This window comes from Homo sapiens, chromosome 14, assembly GCF_000001405.40.
Source record: "Homo sapiens chromosome 14, GRCh38.p14 Primary Assembly".
Lineage (NCBI taxonomy): Eukaryota > Metazoa > Chordata > Mammalia > Primates > Hominidae > Homo > Homo sapiens.
Genome location: NC_000014.9, coordinates 22,806,242 through 22,829,205, shown reverse-complemented (window position 1 = coordinate 22,829,205; position 22,964 = coordinate 22,806,242). Strand labels below are relative to the sequence as shown.

Genomic DNA, 22,964 nt, shown 5'->3' with positions numbered 1-22,964 from the left:
AAGAAACAAGACAGGCCAGGTGCAGTGGCTCACACTTGTAATCCCAGCACTTTGGGAGGCTGAGGCTGGCGGATCACCTGAGGTTGGGAGTTCGAGACCAGCCTGACCAACATGGAGAAACCCTGTCTCTACTAAAAATACAAAATTAGCCAGGCATGGTGGCACATGCCTGTAATCCCAGCTACTCGGGAGGCTGAGGCAGGAGAATTGCTTGAACCCGGGAGGCAGAGGTTGTGGTGATCCAAGATTGCGCCATTGTACTCCAGTCTGGGCAAGAAGAGTGAAACTCCAACTAAAAAAAAAAAAACAGACAATCAAATGATGACATACATGAATATTGTCATTGAGTGCTGGGAAAGGAAATACATGTTGTTTGTGAGTTTATAGTGTGAACTTGATCTACAGTAGACCATCAAAGATGACTTTCCTGAGAAAGGGGTATTGTATTGGAGCTAAGATGTGACATTCCATTTTTATAAGTGCTACCACCGCACATTGCTTAATATTATCCTTGCAACAACCCTGTGAGGTAGGTACTAGAAAGTGGCAAACCCTGATTGGCGACTCCCCTCCTTTTATCACTTGCTATTCAGTACTGTCTTGGAGAAGTCATTTATCCTTCATTTTTTAATTTTAAAAATGCTTAATATGTTACATTTGTGAAAACGATCTAAAAGTGATAATGTGAGTGAAAGTGCTTTATAAATCCTGAAACTCCTACAAAAGAGCCCATTAACTGTCTGCCAGGTGTGAAGGGAAAATATCTTGGTCCTCTTCAAGCTGAGAACCTGGGAACCACTCAGGGCAAATCTGCCTCCAATTCTATCCAAAGTCATCTGTCTACTCACAGAGACAGATGCATATTCTGACTACCTCTTCTGGAAAGACTTGTCAGAAACTCAAAATAATGCAACCATCTGTCTCTCACCTACATGTGACCTGGGGGCCCCCAGTGAGGGGGCCTTGCTTTGAGCTGTCTCTGCCTTTCTGGACAGAACTAATGTGACTTCTTACATTTTCATGTCTCCCTAAAATGTATAAAACCAAGCTACGCCCGGACCACCTTGGGCACATGTCTTCAGGACTTCCTGAGACTGTGTCACAGGCACATCCCCAACCTTGGCAAAATAAACTTTTTAAATTAACTGAGACCTGTCTCAAATTTTGGGGTTTCACATTTTGGTAAGCACAGAGGAATTCTGAGTGGAGATGCCCTTGACCTTAAAAAAAAAATCTCCTATTGGCTGGGCGTGGTGGCTCATGCCTGTAATCACAGCACTTTGGGAGGACAAGGCGGGTGGATCACTTGAGGTCAGGAGTTTGAGACCAGCCTGGCCAACATGGTGAAACCCCATCTCTACTAAAAATACAAAATTAGCCGGTCGTGGTGGCATGCACTTGTAATCCCAACTACTCGGGTGGCTGGAGAATAACTTGAACCTAGGAGGCGGAGATTGCAGTGAGCCAAGATCGTGCCACTGCCCTCCAGCCTGGGCAACAGAGCGAGACTCCGTCTCAAAAAAATAAAAGAAATCTCCTATCGGTGCTTGGTACCAGCATGAGCTAACTTTATGGCTCAAACAAGTAGGACAATTTGCTGAGGTCTGAGAGCATCCCCTCCAGAGAATCCCTGATCTTCCAAAATTTGGTCGAGATCTAAAGTTTATTTTGTACAACTGTTTTTTTTTTTTTTTTTGGAGTTTTACTTGCTTCCTACATTTTCCTGCTTCCATGAGTTTGAACTCACTTCCAATAGGGAAGATGAGTTTTTTTTTTTTCCTGCTTCTAGGCTGGTAGAGAACAGTCTACAGCCTGAGACCCATCACTAGGTAAGAAACTGGTTTGGGATTTTGTCTTGCAAATTCCTTTTAAACGACTAAAGTTAGCATTTAACAGCCAGCAGGTGTTAATTTCTGCTTACACTTAGAGCACTCAGAAACTGTATAATTAGTGTGATCATCGTTAGTTTAGTAGCATTTTGTCATAGCTGAAATATGGTAATGAGATTTAAAAATATATTTTTTTCTTTTGTTAAGGAGCTCAATAGTTAAAAGTCAGCTTAATTAAAAGGCTAATATCCAAGATGCGTGTGTCTGTGGATACATGTGTGCATGTTTGTATTTAAAAGGCCCTCATTAGGCTGGGCGCGGTGGCTCACGCTTGTAATCCCAGCACTTTGGGAGGCCGAGGCGGGTGGATCATGAGGTCAGGAGTTTGAAACCCGCCTGGCCAACATCGTCAAACCCCGTCTAAACCCCAAACTAAAAATTCAAAATTAGCTGGGTGTGGTGGTGCATGTCTGTAATCCCAGCTACTCGGGAGGCTGAGGCAGGACAATCACTTGAACCCCGGAGGCAAAGGTTGTGGTGAGCCGAGATCGCGCCATTGCACACAAGAGTGAAACTCACACACACACACACACACACACACACACACACAGAAAAGATGAGAAACTGGCCAGGTACTGTGGCTCATGGCCTGTAATCCCAGCACTTTGGGAGGCTGAGGTTGGAGGATCACTTGAGCCCAGGAGTTTGAGACTAGCCTGGGCAACAGTCAGACCTTGCCTCTACTAAAATTTAATTTTTGTGTGTGTGTGTGTTTTGCCAGGCATAGTGGCATGCACCTGTGGTCCTAGCTACTTGGGATGTTGAGGTCAGTGAGGTGAGAGGATTGCTTGAGCCTAGGAGTTTGAGGTCATCCTGGACAGTATGGTGAGACCCTGTCTCTACAAAAAATACAAAAAATTGGCTGGGCGGTGTGGCTCATGCCTGTAATCCCAGCACTTTGGGAGGCTGAGGCAGGTGGATAACCTAGGTCAGGATTCGAGACCAGCCTGGCCAACATGGCGAAACCCTGTGTCTACTAAAAATACAAAAATTAGCTGGATGTGGTGGCCATGTGCCGGTAATCCCAGCTACTTGGGAGGCTGAGGCAGGAGAATCACTTGAACGTGGGAGGTGGAGGTTGTAATAAGCCGAGATCGCGCTATTGCACTCCAGCCTGGACAACAAGAGTGAAACTCCATCTCGGAAAAACAAAAAACAAAAAGCAAAACAAAAAATTAGCCAGGTATGGTGGCGTGTGCCTGTAGTCCCAGCTATGTGGGAGGCTGAGGTGGGAGGATCACCTGAGCCTGGGGAGGTCAAGGCTGCAGTGAGTTGTAATCACACCACTGTCCTCTAGCCTAGGTGACAGAGCAAGATACTGTCACAAACAAACAAAAAAAAACATCTGGGGTGGAGTGGGGCATATGCATTTAGGTGAACAAATAATGTGTATAATATGAACACGGCATGCAAAAGTGGACAAGTACAATTATTTAACAGATGTGGGAGTCAAGGAGCCAGAGCCGGAGGACTTTGGGAGCAGGATGGGAATTGTCATTGGAACTAGGAAATCTGGGAAGAGAAGCGTCTTTAGAAGCGCCATGGCTCACGCCTGTAATCCCAGCACTTTGGGAGGCCGAGGAAGGTGGATCATAAGGTCAGGAGTTCAAGACCAGCCTGGCCAAAATGGTGAAACCTCATCTCTACTAAAAATACAAAAACTAGTCAGGTGCGGTGGTGGACACCTGTAGTCCCAGCTACTCGGGAGGCTGAGGCAGGAGAATCACTTGAACCCAGGAGGCAGAGGTTGCAGTGAGCCAAGATTGTGCCACTGCACTCCATCCTGGGCCACAGAGCGAGGCTCCGTCTCAAAAAAAAAAAAAAAAAAAAAAAGAAGAAGAAGAAGGAAGACAAGTTCAGCCCATATATATATATATATATATTTTTTTTTTTTTTTTTTTTTTTTTTTTGTAGAGATGGGGTCTTGCTATGTTTCCTAGGCTGGTCTTGAATTCCTAGGCTCAAGCAATCTTCCTGTCTGGGCCTCCCTAAATTTAACCTTTGATGTGGTTAGTGTGATACAGCAGGGGGACAATCCATGGGTTGTAAATACCAGAAAAGGGCTCCTCACCCAAACAGCTACCTCTCATCTCAGCCTACCTGGACACAGAGATAGATAGATAGAGAGAGAGAGAGAGACAGACAGAACCCCAGAGCGCTGACAACTAACATCATCAGCATTCTCAGGGACCTCATGGAACTCTGTTGGAGGGAGGGGTCTGGCACCTGGACAGCACTCCTCTATGACTTCATCTGCCTCAGAAGCCACAGGAAAGCAGCTTCGTCATCCTAAACTGAATGTCTTTTAACCTCTGGACTTCAACTGGCAAAGACTGGAGTTAAGAATAATGTGAAGCATCAGGCATCTGTGCTTCCTGTGTTTCCTCTCTTAAACTGCTTTGCTTTTCAAGGGCATCATGCCCTGTATTTGGCTTTAACATTTTGTTATCCCAGCCTAGGCAGCACAGCAAGACTTTGTCTCTCTCTCTTTTTTTTCTTTTGAGACAGAGTCTCACTCCATCGCCCAGGCTAGAGTGCAGCTGCGTGATCGCGGCTCACTGCAACCCCCGCTTCCTGGGTTCAAACGATTCTCATGCCTCAGCCTCCCGAGTAGCTGGGATTACAGGCACATGCCACCATGCCCAGCTAATTTTTGTAGTTTTTAGAGACAGCCAAGACTCTGTTTCTTAAAAAAAAAAAAAAACCAAAACCCCCCCCCAAAAACAAAACAAAACAAACAACAACAACAACAAAAACCGGGCGCAGTGGCTCACGCCTGTAATCTCCACACTTTGGGAGGCCAAGGCGGGCGGATCACGAGGTCAGGAGATTGAGACCATCCTGGCCAGTATGGTGAAACCGCGTCTCTACTAAAAATACGAAAATTAGCTGGGCTTGGTGGCGCGTGCCTGTAATCCCAGCTACTGGGGACGCTGAGGCAGGAGAATCCCTTGAACCAGGGCGTCGGAGGTTGCAGTGAGCCGGGATGGTGCCATTGCACTCCAGCCGGGCGACAGAGCGAGACTGCATCTAAAAAAAAAAAAAAAAGCTGGGTACCCACCTGTAGGCACCCACCACCAAGTCCCAGTTACTTGGGAGGCTGAAGCTGGAGGATTGCTTTAGCCCAGAAGGTCAAGGGTGTAGTGAGCTCATGTTTTGTCTAATATGTTTATCCAAATAGCCTCCTTCTGTTCTGTAAGTTTGTATTTATACAGTTACTTTTTTTTTTTTTTTGAGACAGAGTCTCGCTCTGTCACCCAGGCTGGAGTGCGGTGGTGCGATCTCGGCTCACTGCAAGCTCCGCCTCCCGGGTTTACGCCATTCTCCTCCCTCAGCCTCCCGAGTAGCTGGGACTACAGGCGCCTGCCACCACGCCCGGCTAATTTTTTTTTGTATTTTTAGTAGAGACTGGGTTTCACCGTGTTAGCCAGGATGGTCTTGATCTCCTGACCTCATGATCCGCCCGCCTTGGCGTCCCGAAGTGCTGGGATTACAGGCGTGAGCCGCCGCGCCCGGCCCCTACAGTTACTTTTGTACAAGTGCTTTGCTCTGGGAAATTAGGTGCCTTGTAATTGTTGTGATTGATAATGACATTGGAGAAGGAACATAAGACGAAGGAAGCTGACTCTGGGTAGGCAATTCTACTTCATTTTGCAATCTCTTTTCCTTTTTGCATGCCTGTGAGAACATTCTAAGATTGAAGAAGTTGTGGAGAGAAGAGTGAACTGTTTGGGAATTCTTTCATTATCTCCCTTTTTAGGACAGTACAAAGAACAAATCACTGTCACCTCATGCAAGAAATGTGAGAACTGTGGCTACAAATTACTCAATACACTACTTTGCATATTATTTCCTTACTATTTACATAATTTATTGCGACATATTCTGCTTCTTTTCCCAGAGCTGTCAAATCTCTGCTATATCAGTACTGGCTAAATTAGGTGTTAAATGATTGAGCTTCAAGATGGGCAAATCATGACTTCGGACTACATTCCTCCTTGCCTGGCGGCTGGGAAATTCCGTAAGCTCTGTGTGTTTCTATCAGACTGCTCTTGAAGGCGGTGGCTCTCTGTGGATCTCCGCAGAGCGCCAACGTTGGCTTAAAAAACCCCAAAGCTAGATTATCCAAAAGGTATATAAAAGGTAGTTATATTATTTACAAGCCATCTTTTAGCCTTAAAACGTGATGAAGCATTTCCAGTTGCCTTTTCTTGAACTAATTCAGCAACTCCCTTTTTTGTTAGGTCCGCGCTGCTGCTAAGACTTCAGATGAAAGACGCTCCGGGGACTCCGGTATCCTGGGCCCCCTCGGCCCGGACATTTTTGATTAAGCGCTGCCTCCTGGCGGCGGCTTTGCTGCCCGACGCCTTCCCAGCTTAGTGGAGCCCACTTTCTTTGGTTTGGAATCTGGAAGCTGATGCAACAGCTACCCCGAGGGGGCGGGGAGTCGGGAACCCGGGGTGGAAGAGACGGCCTTCGGGAGACCCCTCCTCCGGCTCCGAGGAGGCACATTCCTCGCCCCGCCTCCCGCCCCCGCCCCCCCAACAAGGGGCTTCCCGTCTGGGGGCACTACCGAGATTCAGCCAAGCATCTCGGGGCCGGAGGCAGTTGTGGTCAGGGGTTGGGGCGCTCGCCCAGACTCCTGTCTGGCCGCCAGCTTATGCAGGGTTGGGAGGGAGGGAAGAGGAAGCTGAGCGTTCATGGGGTGGAGGACCAGTCTCTAAGGGTATCCGCGGTCATTTTCATTTCCCCGCAGTAATCCAGCTGTGCGGGAGCGAGGAGCGGACAGGGAGCGGTTTGCGAGGTCTCGGTGCTTGGACCTTTGCGCGCCCTTCGCCTACACCCACCACAACTCCCTCTTCTAGCGCTTCCTAGAGTCGGGGGAAGGGCGGGGGCTGCTTGGCCAGGTGGAGGGAACGCAAGGGACGCCTGTTGGGGTGAGGTCCTGGTCCCCCACAGCCAGACCTGGGCCTCGGGGCCACCCTGTTCTTCAGAGGGGTAATGAAGGCGGACGGTGGCTGGGTCCGAGCTTGGGAAGGCGTTGTCCTAGGGCCGCAGACTGGGGGCCCAAAGGAAGGAGGGAAATAAAAGGGAGACAAACGACAGGGAGGGGCCCGGAGAAAGCGAGGGTGGTGGGGGGGTGGGGATGGGAGAAAGGGACAAAGGTGAGTGAGGCCAGCAGGTTGGGCGGGGGCGGAGAGGGGGATGGGAACGACCAAGGGGTAGGCCAGCAAGGATCGCGGGCCAGGGGAGAGCTTTTCAGGGGTAGAGCAGCGGGCCGGCGCATGGTGGGGAGTTGAGTGTATGCTTCGAAGTCCGCTGTAGAGCCCACTTGCATATGTGTGAACCTGAGCGTTCGCCTCCCCTCGGCCTTTTCCTCCCCTGCCCTTCACCCTTTCGCGGCCATAGCACTTAGCTCTCGCCATCTCCACGCCGCACCCAGACCGGTCACCTGAGCTTGGGTGTGAGGTAGAGCAGACAAGAATTTCCTGGATCCAGGGAAAGAGTGTTAGATGATAGGCTTTTTGTTTTGCTTTGCTTTTCCCATTAATGAAACAAAAGTCCGTTTCAAATCATTCTAGGCCTCCCAGTAAAACTGTGAAAGCCATACTTTCTTCTTTGCCTTTAACGCATTACTGTCAAAAAGAGTACCTCCGGGTACTCCTTGCTTAGGAGCCAGAGCGGCAGCCAAACAGGAGGGCCTGGAGAGCAAATTCAAGGACATGCGCAGGAGCCTAGCCACCTGGGAAATCAAATAGATAACATAGTTCATTCATTCATTTATTAACCCAGCAAACATTTATTAACTGTCTATGTGAGCCCTGCACTGCGGGGATACAGTAGTGAACAAAGCTCTTGTGACGCTTACATTCTAGTGGGAGTGCTGACAGCAAACAAATGACACCGGGAATGGACAATATCACTGGGAAGCATGTTCCAGGCAGGGAGAACAGGAGTTGCAAAAGCTGTGAGGCGGGAGCATGCTTGCTGTGCGGCCACCGCAGGGAAGCCAGTGAAGCTGGAGTGGAGTGGGGAAGACAGCAGGGAGGCCCATGCAGACAAGGACAGCTTCTCTCTTTCTAGGACCTCCCTTACGACTTGGACCCGACTCCAGAGTGCAATTAAGGGGCCGGCAAGTTGGGTAGCAGGCTGAGAGTGTCTAAAGGACACTAAAATATCTTTGGAATAATTCAGGTATTTGGTGCCAGTGTACTATGATTTCTGTGTCTTGGTGAAATATGAGTTGGCTTTCATCCAGTGACATAGACTTATTGACAACTCCTTACCTGGACTGCTTGTGTCTGGAGTAATTTTCCAACAGACAGGTGCAAATTGCAGGATGTAGCCCTGGGGCCAGCCAGCTGACAGTTGCTTAAAGGCGTTAGTCACAGTTGTAATTCCAAAAATTCCTGATGCATTGTGAATGCTGCTCCCTGAGGGCAAGAGATTTATACTATTATCCACATTTTAAGTGGTTTACTATGCTTACCAAGAAGTTGTTTGCTTCAGAAGATTGCATGTGATGAAGATATGTAATAATTTTTTTCTTTTTTTTTTTTGGACTGGAGTGCTCACTGCAACCTCCGCCTCCCGGGTTCAAGCGATTCTCCTGCCTCAGCCTCCCAAGTAGCTGGGATTACAGGCGCCCGCCACCACGCCTGCTAATTTTTGTAAATTTAGTAGAGACGGGGTTTCACTATGTTGGCCAGACTGGTCTCGAACTCCTGACCTTGTGATCTGCCCGACTCGGCCTCCCAAAGTGCTGGGATTACAGGCGTGAGCCACCGTGCCCGGCTGATGTGTAATAATTTCTAATTTTAAATATAAAGAGGCTTACACAATTTGTATTCCAGGAAAATTGATATTTCCCCCACCTCTGCTAAGTAAACGTTCGACGGATGTTTAAATAAAACTGGTTCGAAGGGATGCCAACTCATTAGTCTGCCCAGGGTGCCATGGCCCAGTTGGCTCTTACCTGGCGACATATATCGATATCACCTGAACCAATTAGAGATCTCAGCTGTGAGTGAGCTTGCTTGGTGTTTAAATGTGTGCTTGGCTGTCCCCCTATAAGTGGTCTTCCTTGGCTTGCATTACCTCCCCTTGGCTTGCTTTAGGGGCTGAAATGGCACTGACACTCTTGAGATGGGACTGCAGAGTTTCCTTCCCCTAACCATGGGATCGTATCCCCTCTGCAGAACTAAGGATAGTACATGAGTGGGAGATGAGTAGGAAATGGGATGAGTGGAGTTGCAAGAGGCATCAGAGGTCACTGTCAATGGAGGGGAAAGCTTAAGTGCTCAGTAAATGTAGGGCAACAAGGAAGGGGGGGGTGAGGCTGAGGTAGGGAGGAGAAGGAGCTGAGACTCAGGTATTTGGTGCCAGTGTAGTAGAGAAGGTGCCTGGAGGCGGGCAGGCACTGAGGTCCTCTGGGTCTGACCAGGCAGTCCCAGCTCCAGCCCGTCCCCTGGCCCCTCCCCGCTGCCGGCCAGAGTCACACATGTGTTTTCCTGTTTTCCATTTCAGTCCCCGTTACCCTCTGCTTTTTCTGCTCCTCAGAGTCAACAGCTGTTGCAGCATGAGCGATACGCTTGGTTCTCCTAACTAGCACCTTCCCCTCTCCCCTGACTCAGCTGGTAGCCCCTCCTCCCCGCACCTGCCCAAAGGTCACTGGACAGGTAAGAGGTGGGAGAGGAGGGACAATGGGCGAGAGGGGAAGTGCAGGAGGAGGATGGAGTCCTAAAAATTGGCTGAATGGAGACCCAAGAGCCTCCTGTTTCTTGATCCCAGCCCTGTCCCTCCCTGGGCTGAACCTTCTGCCCAGAGACTTCAGCCCTTCCTTAATGGAAGCCCTGGCCACAGGAGTAAACAATTTCTTTTTTGTTTCACTTTTTTTTTTTTTTTTTAAAGAGACTGTCTTAGCCACAGTGGAATATAGAAAAACAAACAGAGAACTGGGGAGGGAGGAGCTGAGCTTCTAGCTTGGAGTGATGGGGAAATCTAGTCATACCAGAGTGTATCTGTTTTCTGTTTCTGTTGTTAGGGGAGGCAGCACAGACTGATTGGAGCCAGGAAGGCAGGACATGGGGTCTCTGGGAGAGAAAGTGTGTTCTTATAGTAGTTCCCTGAGCTTGGCTGAGGAGCCAAGACCCCGAATTATGTACTAGTTCCTGGAGAAATTGTGTTTTGGTGTTGTCATTCGAGGGTGAGGTTAGGGTGAGGGGCTCCATTGGCTGTCCTGCCCAGCACTGCATACTGGAGGCCCTGCTGCCAGTTTCTGAATCAAATTTCTTCCACAAGCTGTAGGATGAGTGTGTTGTCCTGTAATCTTCACTGGGTGTTCAGAGATGAATGCATCTCAGACAGGGAAAGGCAACAAGGGCTGCTGTTATCTTATGGGGTTTCTCATGTAAAACCTGGGGTGGGTCAGGCACGGTGGCTCACACCTTTAATCCCAGCACTTTGGGAGGCTGAGGTGGGAGGATCACGAGGTCAGGAGTTCGAGACCAGCCTGGACAACATGGTGAAACCCCATCTCTACTAAAAATACAAAAATTAGCTGGGCGCGGTGGCGGGCACCTGTAATCCCAGCTACTTGGGAGGCTGAGGCAGGAGAACCCGGGAGGCAGAGGTTGCAGTGAGCAGAGATTGTGCCACTGCACTCCAGCCTGGGGGACAAAGCAAAACTCCATCTCGGGTAAAAAAAACCCAAAAACCAAAAAAAAAAAAAAACCAAAAACCTGGGGTAGAAGAGCCCCTTTGGGAGAGCCTAGGGGTGTTGCTGGTCCCAGGCTGCCTGAATGGTGGGGCTGCCTGAATGGTGGAAGCATTACCCTAAGACCCAGGGTCTCAGGGAGAAATGTGAGCTGCCAAAGATGGTGCCTTCTTGTCCAGGGTGCTAGGTAGTGGTTGAGAAAAGAGGGGGTCTTCATGTTCTCAATGCATGGCAGCCTCCCTTGCCTAGTGCGCACGGGCAGACTGAAGTAGGTTAGAGTCCACTAGCACTTCCTGGTGCTACCACTAGGGCGTGCTGTTTGCTGGAGTGTGGGTTTTACCCCCAGCAGATTTCTGTCTCAAAATTCCACGGATAGGACTTCACTTTTCAGATGCTACCAGTCAGGAATGAAACCCTGTACACTTCTCTCTCCATTCCCCCTCACAGTTTTCCCTTCCTTTGTCCCTCCTTCCTTCCTTTCTTTTACGTCATATTAGGACACATGCCCACCCCTTGGTGCCAGTGAATTTGGTCTTAAAAGGGCAGGCGTGATGATGTGTTTGTGTTTTTTTTTTTGTTTGCTTTAGAAGTGGGCACCCTAGCAATAGCAGCACTGCCAAGAGGACTTGTAATCACCTCTTATCCCTGCAAAGAATGAGAAAGGGGAGGGGCAGCCAGGAAGGAGATTAACAAACTTTGTTGGAGCCTTTCGTCTAGGCTATAGACTGAAGGATGACAGAGGCTTTCTTTCTTTTTAATCTAGTCTGCTTACATCTTCCCCCAGGTAATTCATGTAGATAATTCCTGTCCAAAAGCAAGGTCTAAGGTGGCATCGGTGGCTCACGCCTGTAATCCCATCACTTTGGGAGGCAGAAGCAGGTGGATCAGTTGAGGCCAGGAGTTCAAGACCGGCCTGGCCAACATGGCAAAACCTCGTCTCTACTAGAAATACAAAAATTAGGCTGGGCACAATGGCTCATGCCTGTAATCCTAGCACTTTGGGAGGCCGAGGTGGGCGGATTGCCTGAGTTTAGGAGTTTAAGACCATCCTGGTCAATGTGGTGAAACCCCGACTCTACTAAAAACAAAAAAGATTAGCTGGGCGTGGTGGTGTGCACCTGTAATCCCAGCTACTCGGGAGGCTGAGGCAGGAGAATTGCTTGAACCCAGTAGGTGGAGGTTGCAGTGAGCCGAGATTGCACCACTGCACTCCAGCCTGGGCGACAGAGTAAGTGTCTGTCTCAAAATAAATAAAATAAAATAAAATAAAATAAAATAAAAATACCGAAATAAAAACACAAAAATTAGCCAGGTGTAATCCTAGTTACTCAGGAGGCTGATGCATGAGAATTGCTTGAACCAGGAGGTGGTGGAGGTTGCAGTGAGTCAAGATCGTGCCACTGCACTCCAGCCTGGGGGACAGAGTGAGACTCTGTCTCAAAAAAAGAAAATAAATAAAAAAAAAAAAAAATAAAAGGAAGGCCTAGAGACTAAGGCAGGCCAGGGGGATGGGGAGATGGAGAGATAGTATACTTGTGTGATTAAGAGTATATGAGCTCTGGAGGTTCCATGAGATAATGTGCTTAAGTCCTTAGCAGTGTGTCTGGCCCAGTAAGTGCTCAATAAGTGATAGCAATTATTATTACAGGAGCATTTTGGAGAAAAGGAGAGTCTCCTCCAGAAGGATTTCAGATCATTGTGAGCCTGTCTTGGGAGAAGCATGATCTCTGGGAACGCTCACACCAGAATCCTCCTCCTAGATTAAATTAAAAGTTTAAAGAGCTAGAATGGGAGGATGTATGGTAGAGATGTCTCCCAGAGATATTTAGATCTCTATTCTCTGGTTGTAGAATAACCAAAGAGGGTTAGAACAGATAGGAGAAGAAACAGACAGTTGGATTTCAGAATGGATAGGGTCTATTTCTGTTGGTAAAAGAGACTCAGAATACCAGATTTAAAGTAAATAATAAAGATAGCATAAACTATGTGATTTCCAAAAAGTGCTCAGCTTCCTCTGCCTGTTCTGGGCCTGTCTGTCCAACAGAATTCAGTGAAATCTGATTTCCTCATATTCTTTTTTAATTTTTTTTTTTTGAGATGGAGTCTTGCTGTGTTGCCCAGGCTGGAGTGCAGTGGCCTAATGTGGGTTCACTGCAAGCTCCGCCTCCCGGGTTCATGCCATTCTCCTCATTCTCCTGCCTCAGCCTCCCGAATAGCTGGGACTACAGGTGCCCGCCACCACGCCCGGCTAATTTTTATTTTTTTGTGTTTTTAGTAGAGACGGGGTTTCACCGTGTTAGCCAGGATGGTCTTGATCTCCTGACCTTGTGATCCGCCTGCCTCAGCCTCCCAAAGTGCTGGGATTACAGGCGTGAGCCACCGCGTCTGGCCTGATTTCCTCATATTTTTTAGGAAAGTGGAGTCAACTTATATTTGAGGAAGGCGTTTATAGGAATTTATGCTTATCCCAGAGATCTTGGTATGTTTTGTCAAGAATGAAAAGGCACGTGGGTCTGGTGGGGATGCAGTCAGATATTTGATCTCTTGACTGTGTTTCTTTTGAAGTAGTCTGAGGCTCAGACTTTGGGGCAGTGGCCCAGGCTTGGAGGCAACCCCCCAGTCTCTCTTTGCATGGGGAAGTGTGCAGAGTTCTCTTAGAACACCCAGTCACATGGTGTAGAGACTGCTCTTACACTTCCTGTAATCTCAGCATGGGAACAAGCCTTTGTGTCACACTGTGCAACCTTCCTCCCTTTCTTAAATGCTTGGGGTGAGAGAGAAGAGAGGCTAGGGTGGGGCATGGAGGACACAGAGAGAGAGAGTGCTGTGTATTCCTTCCCCGCTACTGTCCTGTCCTCAGCTAACTTGCTCTGGGACAGCTTCCCCAGGGCTACAGATACTGCACTCAGCTGACTGTCCTTTCTTCTGGGCCCCTGGTCCCAGAGCAGAGCTGACAAAGGAGATTCCTGAGAGAGCACCTTCTTATCACAGAAAGTGCTGAGCCAAGAGCTCCTAGCTGCCCCTTTTGCAGATGTGAAGGGCCAGTGAACCTTGGACCCAGATGGTTGCTTAATACTCCTTTCCCCCTCCCTCACTCCTTCCTTTGCGGGCTGCCTCACCTCCTCCACCCTTCTTGCTTAAATCCATAGGCATTTGTCTGGCCTTCCCTTTTACTGCTGGCTGGGAAGGAGGAGCATCAGACCACAGATCCTGGAAGGCACTTCTCTCCCTGACTGCTGCTCACACTGCCGTGAGAACCTGCTTATATCCAGGACCAAGGAGTGAGTGTGCGTTCCACCCTCTTCTCATCTCCACTTACCTTGCTAACCCTCCTCTTTGCTGCTGTGCAGTGTCTAATCGCTTCTTCTCCCGAGTGCCTCTCACCCTAACATCTCTCCATTGCTTGACTAGCCTCTCCCATTTTCCTCTCAGCTGTCTCCTGTTCGGTGTTTTCCAGCATGTGCTGCCTGGCTGCAGCTGTCTCCCTGCCTTGGCTCGGGGTGATATCTCTCCAGCAGCAACTCTGGGGTAGGGAGTGGCCATCAGCTGCCTCCAATCATCCCTAGGTTTTATGGTACATTGGATCGCCCTTCTCTCATTCATACTTTTTTGGGTGATTCAACGATGCTGATGTGAGGGATCGATAGCAGGAGGCTTAGAATACCAGAGAATGGGAAAGGAAAAGCAAGGAAAAGATAATAGCCTGTCTTCTTTCAGGGTGAAGTGGGTCTACTTGGGCTTTGCCAGGGCTGAAGACTCCAGCTAAGGGTTAAGGGATGCTCTTTGGGCAGGAGGATGGTTGTGGGTTTCCAGCAGGTTTCTGAAGCCTTTAGTTTTGGCAGACGTAGAGTCCTTGGGGAAAAGAGCAGTGTCATGAGACGCTCCCACAGATTAGCTGCTGGTAGGGTCAGTTCCTAATGTTGTACCTCAGCACAGGTGATCCCTGAAGCTGAAATTGGAGGGAAGACGGGTTTTGGATAAGGCTGAAAACTCGGGGTCAAGCCATTATAGTTATTTTCTGGGAGCCGCCACACTGCCCCCATGCCTGTCTTGTATTATAGCAGGCTCAGAGAGAACCAACATTTAGTGTTTTGTTTTTGATTTTGTTTTTTTTTTGAGACAGAGTTTTGCTCTTGTTGCCCAGGCTGGAGTGCAATGGCCCAGTCTTAGCTTACCGCAACCTCTGCCTCCCGGGCTCAAGTGATTCTCCTGCCTCAGCCTCCCAAGCAGCTGGGATTACAGGCATGTGCCACCACGCATGGCTAATTTTTGTATTTTTAGTAGAGACTGGGTTTCTAAATGTTGGTCAGGCTGGTCTCGAACTCCCGACTTTAGGTGATCTGCCCGCCTTGGCCTCCCAAAGTGCTGGGTTTACAGATGTGAGCCACAGCGCCCGGCCCAAGATTTAGTTCTCTATTTGGTGAGTCGGGTGGGCAGCAATGTCCTAATGATGAGAGACAGATCCTTTCTCTCTGGCGAATGAGTGCCTTCTCTTAAAAATTCAAGTTGGAGGCTGGGCAAGGTGGCTCACGCCTGTAATCCCAGCACTTTGGGAGGCCGAGGCGGGCGGATAACCTGAGGTCGGGAGTTTGAGACCATCCTGACCAACATGGAGAAACCCCATCTCTACTAAAAATACAAAATTAGCTGGGTGTGGTGGTGCATGCCTATAATCCCAGCTACTTGGGAGGCTGAGGCAGGAGAATCACTTGAACCCGGGAGGCGGAGGTTGCAGTGAGCTGAGATCGCGCCATTGCACTCCAGCCTGGGCAACAAGAGCAAAACTCCATCTCAAAAAAAAAAAAAAAAAATTAGCCACGCGTGGTGGCAGGTGCCTGTAATCCCAGCTACTTGGGAGGCTGAGGCAAGAGAAGCGCTTGAACCCGGGAGGCTGAGGTTGCAGTGAGCCGAGCCGAGATTGCACCACTGCACTCCAGCCTGGGCTACAGAGCGAGACTCTGTCAATAAATAAATAAATACATAGATAGATAGACAAATATTCAAGTTGGGGTTGTTTTGATGAGTGAGCTGGAGAAAAGGTTATTTGGAGGTCTCCGCATTGGTTGGTGAGCTGCCCGTATTACCCTGTGTTGGAGGCGGGTAGAGGTTCTATGTAATTGCCAACCACCTAATCTATAGCATCATCTTTCTTCCTTAAAGGGCAATGCCAGGAAGCTGGTGAAGGGTTTCCTCTCCTCCACCATGGTTGACAGCACTGAGTATGAAGTGGCCTCCCAGCCTGAGGTGGAAACCTCCCCTTTGGGTGATGGGGCCAGCCCAGGGCCGGAGCAGGTGAAGCTGAAGAAGGAGATCTCACTGCTTAACGGCGTGTGCCTGATTGTGGGGAACATGATCGGCTCGGGCATCTTTGTTTCCCCCAAGGGTGTGCTCATATACAGTGCCTCCTTTGGTCTCTCTCTGGTCATCTGGGCTGTCGGGGGCCTCTTCTCCGTCTTTGGGGCCCTTTGTTATGCGGAACTGGGCACCACCATTAAGAAATCTGGGGCCAGCTATGCCTATATCCTGGAGGCCTTTGGAGGATTCCTTGCTTTCATCAGACTCTGGACCTCCCTGCTCATCATTGAGCCCACCAGCCAGGCCATCATTGCCATCACCTTTGCCAACTACATGGTACAGCCTCTCTTCCCGAGCTGCTTCGCCCCTTATGCTGCCAGCCGCCTGCTGGCTGCTGCCTGCATTTGTAAGTGGGGCTGGGGTAGGAGGTGGTGGGTGGAGGGCTGGACAGAGGCTGGGATGTGAGTGCAGTCTGGGAGTAAGAAGGAGATAGAGAGGAATGTCTCTGACAACATATATATATATATATATAGTTAAAGTATGCTTTGTGTGAAAATTCAAACAGTACCACAGTGTATCGCAAAAACACTCACCTTTTCCCCAGCTTCTCACAGTAAGCACTATTAGCAGTTTGCATATTCTTCCTGATTTTTTTTTTTTTTTTTTAAAGAGACAGGTATTTTGCTCTGTCACCCAGACTGGAGTGCAGTGGTGTGATTATACCTTACTTCAGCCTCGAACTTCTAGGCTCAAGCTATCCTCCTGCCTCAGCCTCCTGAGTAGCAGGGACCACAGGCACACTGATTTTTTTTTCTTGTTCCTTCAAGAGATGTAGTTTTGGCAGGGTGTGGTGGCTTATGCCTGTAATCCCAGCACTTTGGGAGGCTGAAGTGGGCAGATCACCTGAGGTCAGGAGTTCGAGACTAGCCTGGCCAACATGGTGAAACCCCATCTCTACTAAAAATACAAAAATTAGCTGGGTGTGGTGGCAGGTGCCTGTAATCCCAGCTACTCAGGAGGCTGAGGCAGGAGAATCGCTTGAACCCAGGAGGCAGAGGTTGCGGTGAGCCAAGATCGCACCACTGCACTCCAGCCTGGGCAACAGAGTGAGACTCTATCTCAAAAAAATAAAAATAAAAAAAAAAGAGGTGTAGTTTTGTTCTTTTACAAAAATGAGGTCATACTAGTCTACATGTAATTCTACAGTGTGCTTTTCCTCTAGCATTATCAGTGACATTCTTTTCTACTTACAGATCTACTTTTTAAAAAATGCTTCATATTATTTCATGTGAATTTTAAGGATGCATAGTAGTTTATTTATCTAGCTGGTCCTCTGTTAATGGCCATGTACGTTGGTTTCAGTTTCTCAGTCTTACAGATAATGCTCCAGTGAATATCTTTTTGCAGCTGCATGAGTATTTCTGTAGGCTGGATTCTTCCTTTTTTTTTTTTTTTTTTTTTGAGATAGAGTCACTCTGTCGCCCAGGCTTGAGTGGTGCAATCTCAGCTCACTGCAACCTCCATCTTCTGGGTTCAAGTGATTCTCCTGCCTCAGCCTCCCTAGTAGCTGGGATTACAGGCATGTGCCACCATGCCTAGCTAATTTTTTTGTATTTTTGGTGGAGACGGGGTTTCACTGTGTTGGCCAGGCTGGACTCGAACTCCTGAGCTCAAGTGATCTACCTGCCTTGGCTTCCCAAAGTGTTGGGATCACAGGCGTGAGCCACTGCACCCGGCCTCTGTGGGCTAGATTTTTAATACTGTCATTTCAGTCCACCTTGGCTTTTTCTCCATCTCATAAATAAAACATTATTTAAATCTGTACATTCAGTAAAGCCATTGGAGGTGCTGAGATGATGATTCTCCATAGCCCCATCCCTCAGATGCCACTATTCTTGAAAAATGCCCTTCCAACCTGGGAGAGCCTAGGACCTTAGAGATGCCTTCCACCCTGCAACTGTGAAGAAGCTCAGACATTCTGTCAATTTGAGGGGCAGCTGCTCTAGCAGTTGGGGCACAGGAATTTTGCACCAGGTGCAATTGCTCATTGGCTCACCGCTCTCCAATCAGTTTGTGTCCTTTTTTCTTTCAATTTCTGTATTGCCCCATTCACTCCTCAACTTCCTTTCCAGCTTCTCTGATTTTACTGTTGTGTAGAGAACTGGCTGTCTTCTGTGGGGTCCTTCTGTGTTTTGTGTGTCCTTGTGTCTGGCCTGGACTCATCTCTGCATATGGGATGTTTGTCATACATGGCAACAGTCAGGGAGGGGTGGAAGGCACTGCTTTGTGTTGCAAGAAGGGGGTTTTCACTGAGGTTTTTTTTTTCCGAGACGGAGTTTCACTCTTGTTGCCCAGGCTGGAGTGCAATGGCACAATCTCGGCTCACCACAACCTCTGCCTCCCGGGTTCAAGTGATTCTCCTGCCTCAGCCTCTCAAGTAGCTGGGATTACAGGCATGTGCCACCACGCCTGGCTAATTTTTGTATTTTTATTAGAGACAGGGTTTCTCCATGTTGGTCAGGCTGGTCTTGAACTCCCGACCTCAGGTGATCCGCCCGCCTTGGCCTCCCAAAGTGCTGGGATTACAGGCATGAGCCACTGTGCCCAGCCTTCACTGAGGTCTTAAATATGATCTGTGATTTCTCTTGCATTACTTGCAGATGATCTGGTAGGTTGCTTACTGGCAAAACTAATTTTAGGATCTATTGGTCTTGGAGCACCCTCAAATGTGGGCATATGGTTAATTATATCATGTGCAGAGAAGGATCATTTCATCTAAGTAATATTTCTAAGATGGCTGCATTCCTTTAAAATACCAGAAATCTATTTTTTTTTTTTTTTTTGAGATGGAGTTTCGCTCTTGTTGCCCAGGCTGGAATGCAATGGCGTGATCTTGGCTCACCGCAACCTCTGCCTCCCAGGTTCAAGTGATTCTCCTGCCTCAGCCTCCCGAGTAGCTGGGATTACAGATGTGCTACCATGCCCGGCTAATTTTGTATTTTTAGTAGAGATGGGGTTTCTCCATGTTGGTCAGGCTAGTCTCGAACTCCGGACCTCAGGTAATCCGCCTACCTCGGCCTCCCAAAGTGCTGGGATTACAGGCATGGGCCACCTTCCCGGCCTTAGAATTCTATTATTTTAACTATCTTTGTCTGTGTCATTTCTGACAGCTCTTGTTCCTCGATTCTGACCTTGTGCCTACCTCTGCCAGTCAACCCTTTTTAATTTTCTGCTGTTGCTGCTTTTTTTTTTTTTTTTTTTTTTTTGAGACAGTGTTTCCCTCTTGTTGCCCAGGCTGGAGTGCAATGGTGCGATCTCAGCTCACTGCAACCTCCGCCTCCCGAGTTCCAGCGATTCTCTTGCCTCAGCCTCCCAAGTAGCTGGGATTACAGGCGCCCGCCACCACGCCAAGCTAATTTTTTGTATTTTTAGAAGAGATGGGATTTCACAGCCACTGCACCTGGCCAATTTTCTGCTTCTAATTTGGGTATAGAGACATACATGTTTAAATCCTCATTCACCCATGTACACATTCACGTGCCTGTACATCCTTGTAAGAATACATGCAAAGGCCGGGTGCAGTCGCTCATGCCTGTAATCCTAGCACTTTGGGAAGCTAAGATGGGCGGATCGTGAAACCCCCTCTCTACTAAAAATACAAAAAAGGCCGGGCATGGTGGCTCACGCCTGGAATCCCAGCACTTTGGGAGGCCGAGATGGGTGGATCACGAGGTCAAGAGATCAAGATCATCCTGGCCAACATGGTGAAACCCCGTCTCTATGAAAAACGCAAAAAAATTAGCTGGGTGTGGTGGTGCGTGCCTATAGTCCCAGCTACTTGGGAGGCTGAGGCAGGGGAATCGCTTGAACCCGGGAGGCAGAGGTTGCAGTGAGCAGAGATCGCGCCATTGCACGCCAGCCTGGGTGACAGAGCCAGACTCTGTCTCAAAAAAAAAAAAAAAAGCTGGGTGTGGTGGTGGGTGCCTATAATCCCAGCTACTAGGGAGGCTGACACAGGAGGAACGCTTGAACCCGGGAAGCAGAGGTTGCAGTAGCCGAGATCATGCTACTGCACTCCAGCCTGGGCCACAGAGCGAGACTCTGTCTCAAAAGACAAAACAAAACAAAACAAAAAGAATACATGCAAAGTAGCCGCAGTTATGGTTCGTATGCAGAGCTCTTCAGTGAGTAAAATGCATAGAGTTTTGTACACACATGTGTGACACACATTTGAGATTTCTCTGATAGAGTGAAAGGTGCACAGCACTTGTGCACACACTTGTGTTTGAGGTTGGGCTCAATAGCTATGTGACCTTGAGCCAGGTGCACTGACTGTTTAATTCCAGGCTGTTGTGAGAATGGAATGAGATTCAGTGAAAACCATGAATTATGAATTATGTTTCAAATTACTGTCTTTCTTGGTCACTTATAGTCCTGTTCCTCTTCCTGCTTCTTGGCTTCATCTGAGTAGTTATGGTTAGATAAATGAAATATTACTGCATAGATAATATCTGGACTTTGTTCTATCTTTGATAACTTCAGAGGAGCATAGAGATCTAAAGAAGGTTCAGAAGGGCAACCAAGACTAAGAATTTAGTGACATATGATTCATGGGTTTATTCCTTCAGCCACTGTTTTGGTTTTGTTTTTTAATTTTCTTTAATAGAGATGGGGTCTCGCTATGTTGCCCAGGCTGGTCTCAAACTCCTGGGCTCAAGCTATCTGCCTGCCTTGGCCTCCCAAAGTGCTAGGATTACGGGCGTGAGCCATTGTGCCTGGTCTTCAGGCACTGTTGAATAAGCACCTGACACAAGTCAGATGCTGGGACCTATGAAGACATTCTGATTAGCCTAAGTGAGAACTTAGGCAGAATCTTCAGATTTAGCAAGAGAAGGGCTTTAATTTAGAGCTTTCATACATTCCCTCCCTTAGAAAAAATTTAATTAGGGCATGCTATGTGTGTGCTAGATATTTTACTTAGTGCTGAAAAACAAAGAAGAATGATGTCTGGCCCTTGCCATTCAATAATTTATAGTCCAGAAAGGAGACTGACATGTTAACAAATAATTGTCATGCAATATAATTTGTACACTGATAGAGGCACCATAAGAGCAAATGGGGCAACTTCTTTTTTTTTTTTTGAGATGAAGTTTCACTCTTGTTGCCCAGGCTGGAGTGCAGTGGTGTGATCTCGCCTCACTCACGCAACCTCCATGTCCCAAGTTAAGCGATTCTCCTGCCCCAGCCTCCTGAGCAGCTGGGATTACAGCTGTGCACCACCACACCCGGCTAATTTTTGTGTTTTTAGTAGAGACGGGGTTTCACCACGTTGGCCAGGCTGGTCTCGAACTCCTAACCTCAGGCGAACTGCCCGCCTCAGCTTCCCAAATTGCTGGGACTACAGGCATGAGCTACCACGCCCGACCTAAATGGGACAACTTTATTTTTGTAGGGGAGGATAGCTTAGGAAGGTATCGCAGAGAACATGGTGTCTGAGCTGAATTTTGAAAATAAATATAGCTGTCTCCTGTGACCTTTCACACAGGAGACTGCATGTGCAAAGGTGTGGAGGTGCAAGGTACAGAATGTTCAGAGAATTCCAGGTCGTTGGTTTGGTATGGTTGGAATGTGGGGTGGGAGAAGGGCGAGGAGACAGCCCTGGGTGAGATGGGTTTTATAATCAGGTTGGACTTTATCTAAAAGATAAGGGGAAGCTATTGTTTATTTTTATATTTTTAGAGATGGGGGTTCTTGCTCTGTCGCCCAGGCAGGAGTGCAGTGGTGCAGTCATAGCTCACTGCAGCCTCCAACTCCTGGCCTCAAGTAATCCTCCTACCTCCTGAGTAGCTAGGATTACAGGTGGGAGCTACAAAGCTACACAGCTACTGATTATTAAGCAGGGGTATGGGGACTAGTGAAATAATGAGACTTAGTTAAAAGGAGAACTCTGGTGGCCACATGGAGAATGTTTTTGGAAAGAGCAAGAGACAGAAGGTGGGGAGACTGGTTTAGGGAGCTGAAACCTGAATCCATGTGAAGGGTGATGAATATCTGCACTGTGGAGTGGCCTTAGGAACAGAGATGAGGGTATGAATAAAGAAATAGTTGGCCCGGCGCGGTGGCTCACGCCTGTAATCCCAGCACTTTGGGAGGCCGAGGCTGGTGGATCTCGAGGTCAGGAGATTGAGACCATCCTGGCTAACACAGTGAAATCCCGTCTTTACTAAAAATACAGAAAAAATTAGCCGGGCATGGTGGCAGGAGCCTGTAGTCCCAGCTACTTGGGAGGCTGAGGCAGGAGAATGGCATGAACCCGGGAAGCGGAGCTTGCAGTGAGCCCAGATCGCGCCACTGCACTCTAGCCTGGGCGACAGAGCGAGACTCCGTCTCAAAAAAAAAAAAAAAAAAAAGTTAACAGTGGACTTTCAAGGACTTTTTGCCGGGGGTCGGGGAGCTCTCACAGGTAAAGCCCTGCCTCCAGCCTTGCCCATAGGTTTCCACCCCAGTATGTTGCTCCCTGTTTAAAATCCTCCAGTGGCTCCTCATATGCTTTAGGATAAAATCTAAATCCCTAGGAAGGTGTGCCTTGTGCTTTTGCCGCTTTGGCCTTCTCATATCCCATAATCCTTCATGCACACCCCATTACCCATATATTCTAGGTATGGGGAATATGGAAGCTCTCAGAGTTCATGAAGCTAGAGATTTGAGCTTGGACAGGTGTGGGTGATGGGGCTGCCATCTAAAATAGGGAAGGTGGGCTGAGTGTGAGGTAGACAGGGCATCCAAGTCTTCTGCCAGGCTGCTTATGTGGCCCTTCCATGAGCAGCGCCTTCTTTGGGTGTCATGACACAGATTTGGGTCATTTTCCCAGCAGTTGAGTCACGCTTACCTAAAAAAAGAGGTCGATATGGTGAAACCCTGTCTCTACTAAAACACAAAAAAATTAGCCGGGCATGATGGCGGGCACCTGTAATCCCAGCTACTTGGGAGGCTGAGGCAGGAGAATCGCTTGAACCTGGGAGGTGGAGGTTGCAGTGAGCCGAGATTGCACCATTGCACTCTAG

General features: G+C 48.4%; 1 protein-coding gene across 4 annotated transcripts in view, besides 8 other annotated features; it reads left to right on the top strand.

The window, feature by feature from the left end:
- Positions 4,018–4,914: an enhancer, noted in NCBI's record as "H3K4me1 hESC enhancer chr14:23293501-23294397 (GRCh37/hg19 assembly coordinates)". NCBI's record gives its function as "activates a minimal SCP1, AML or CMV promoter by ChIP-STARR-seq in primed H9 embryonic stem cells {active_cell/tissue: H9 hESC(primed)}" and the evidence as "EXISTENCE:reporter gene assay evidence [ECO:0000049][PMID:30033119]".
- Positions 6,036–6,265: a silencer, noted in NCBI's record as "fragment chr14:23292150-23292379 (GRCh37/hg19 assembly coordinates)". NCBI's record gives its function as "represses an EF-1alpha promoter that drives an FKBP-Casp9 reporter gene in an ReSE screen in K562 erythroleukemia cells {active_cell/tissue: K562}" and the evidence as "EXISTENCE:reporter gene assay evidence [ECO:0000049][PMID:32094911]".
- Positions 6,373–6,472: a silencer, noted in NCBI's record as "silent region_5591". NCBI's record gives its function as "represses an Ori minimal core promoter by ATAC-STARR-seq in GM12878 lymphoblastoid cells {active_cell/tissue: GM12878}" and the evidence as "EXISTENCE:reporter gene assay evidence [ECO:0000049][PMID:35858748]".
- Positions 8,687–9,259: an enhancer, noted in NCBI's record as "H3K4me1 hESC enhancer chr14:23289156-23289728 (GRCh37/hg19 assembly coordinates)". NCBI's record gives its function as "activates a minimal SCP1, AML or CMV promoter by ChIP-STARR-seq in primed H9 embryonic stem cells {active_cell/tissue: H9 hESC(primed)}" and the evidence as "EXISTENCE:reporter gene assay evidence [ECO:0000049][PMID:30033119]".
- The window catches only part of SLC7A7 (solute carrier family 7 member 7), a 46,570-nt gene continuing 33,020 nt past the window's right edge, over positions 9,415–22,964 (top strand). Inside the window, exons 1-3 of one of the 4 annotated variants that reach the window (NM_001126106.4) lie at positions 9,415–9,568; positions 13,755–13,886; positions 15,766–16,306. In NM_001126106.4, coding sequence (NP_001119578.1) covers positions 15,808–16,306 — 499 coding nt within the window. In that variant the 5' untranslated portion in view covers positions 9,415–9,568; positions 13,755–13,886; positions 15,766–15,807. Of the gene's footprint in view, positions 9,569–13,334; positions 13,376–13,754; positions 13,887–15,765; positions 16,307–22,964 lie in introns of those variants that run through there. The other 3 variants (NM_001126105.3, XM_011537299.2, NM_003982.4) reach the window with 3 other exon arrangements.
- Positions 13,682–13,781: an enhancer, noted in NCBI's record as "active region_8143". NCBI's record gives its function as "activates an Ori minimal core promoter by ATAC-STARR-seq in GM12878 lymphoblastoid cells {active_cell/tissue: GM12878}" and the evidence as "EXISTENCE:reporter gene assay evidence [ECO:0000049][PMID:35858748]".
- Positions 13,970–14,476: an enhancer, noted in NCBI's record as "H3K4me1 hESC enhancer chr14:23283939-23284445 (GRCh37/hg19 assembly coordinates)". NCBI's record gives its function as "activates a minimal SCP1, AML or CMV promoter by ChIP-STARR-seq in naive H9 embryonic stem cells {active_cell/tissue: H9 hESC(naive)}" and the evidence as "EXISTENCE:reporter gene assay evidence [ECO:0000049][PMID:30033119]".
- Positions 15,784–15,843: a silencer, noted in NCBI's record as "silent region_5590". NCBI's record gives its function as "represses an Ori minimal core promoter by ATAC-STARR-seq in GM12878 lymphoblastoid cells {active_cell/tissue: GM12878}" and the evidence as "EXISTENCE:reporter gene assay evidence [ECO:0000049][PMID:35858748]".
- Positions 15,864–15,923: a silencer, noted in NCBI's record as "silent region_5589". NCBI's record gives its function as "represses an Ori minimal core promoter by ATAC-STARR-seq in GM12878 lymphoblastoid cells {active_cell/tissue: GM12878}" and the evidence as "EXISTENCE:reporter gene assay evidence [ECO:0000049][PMID:35858748]".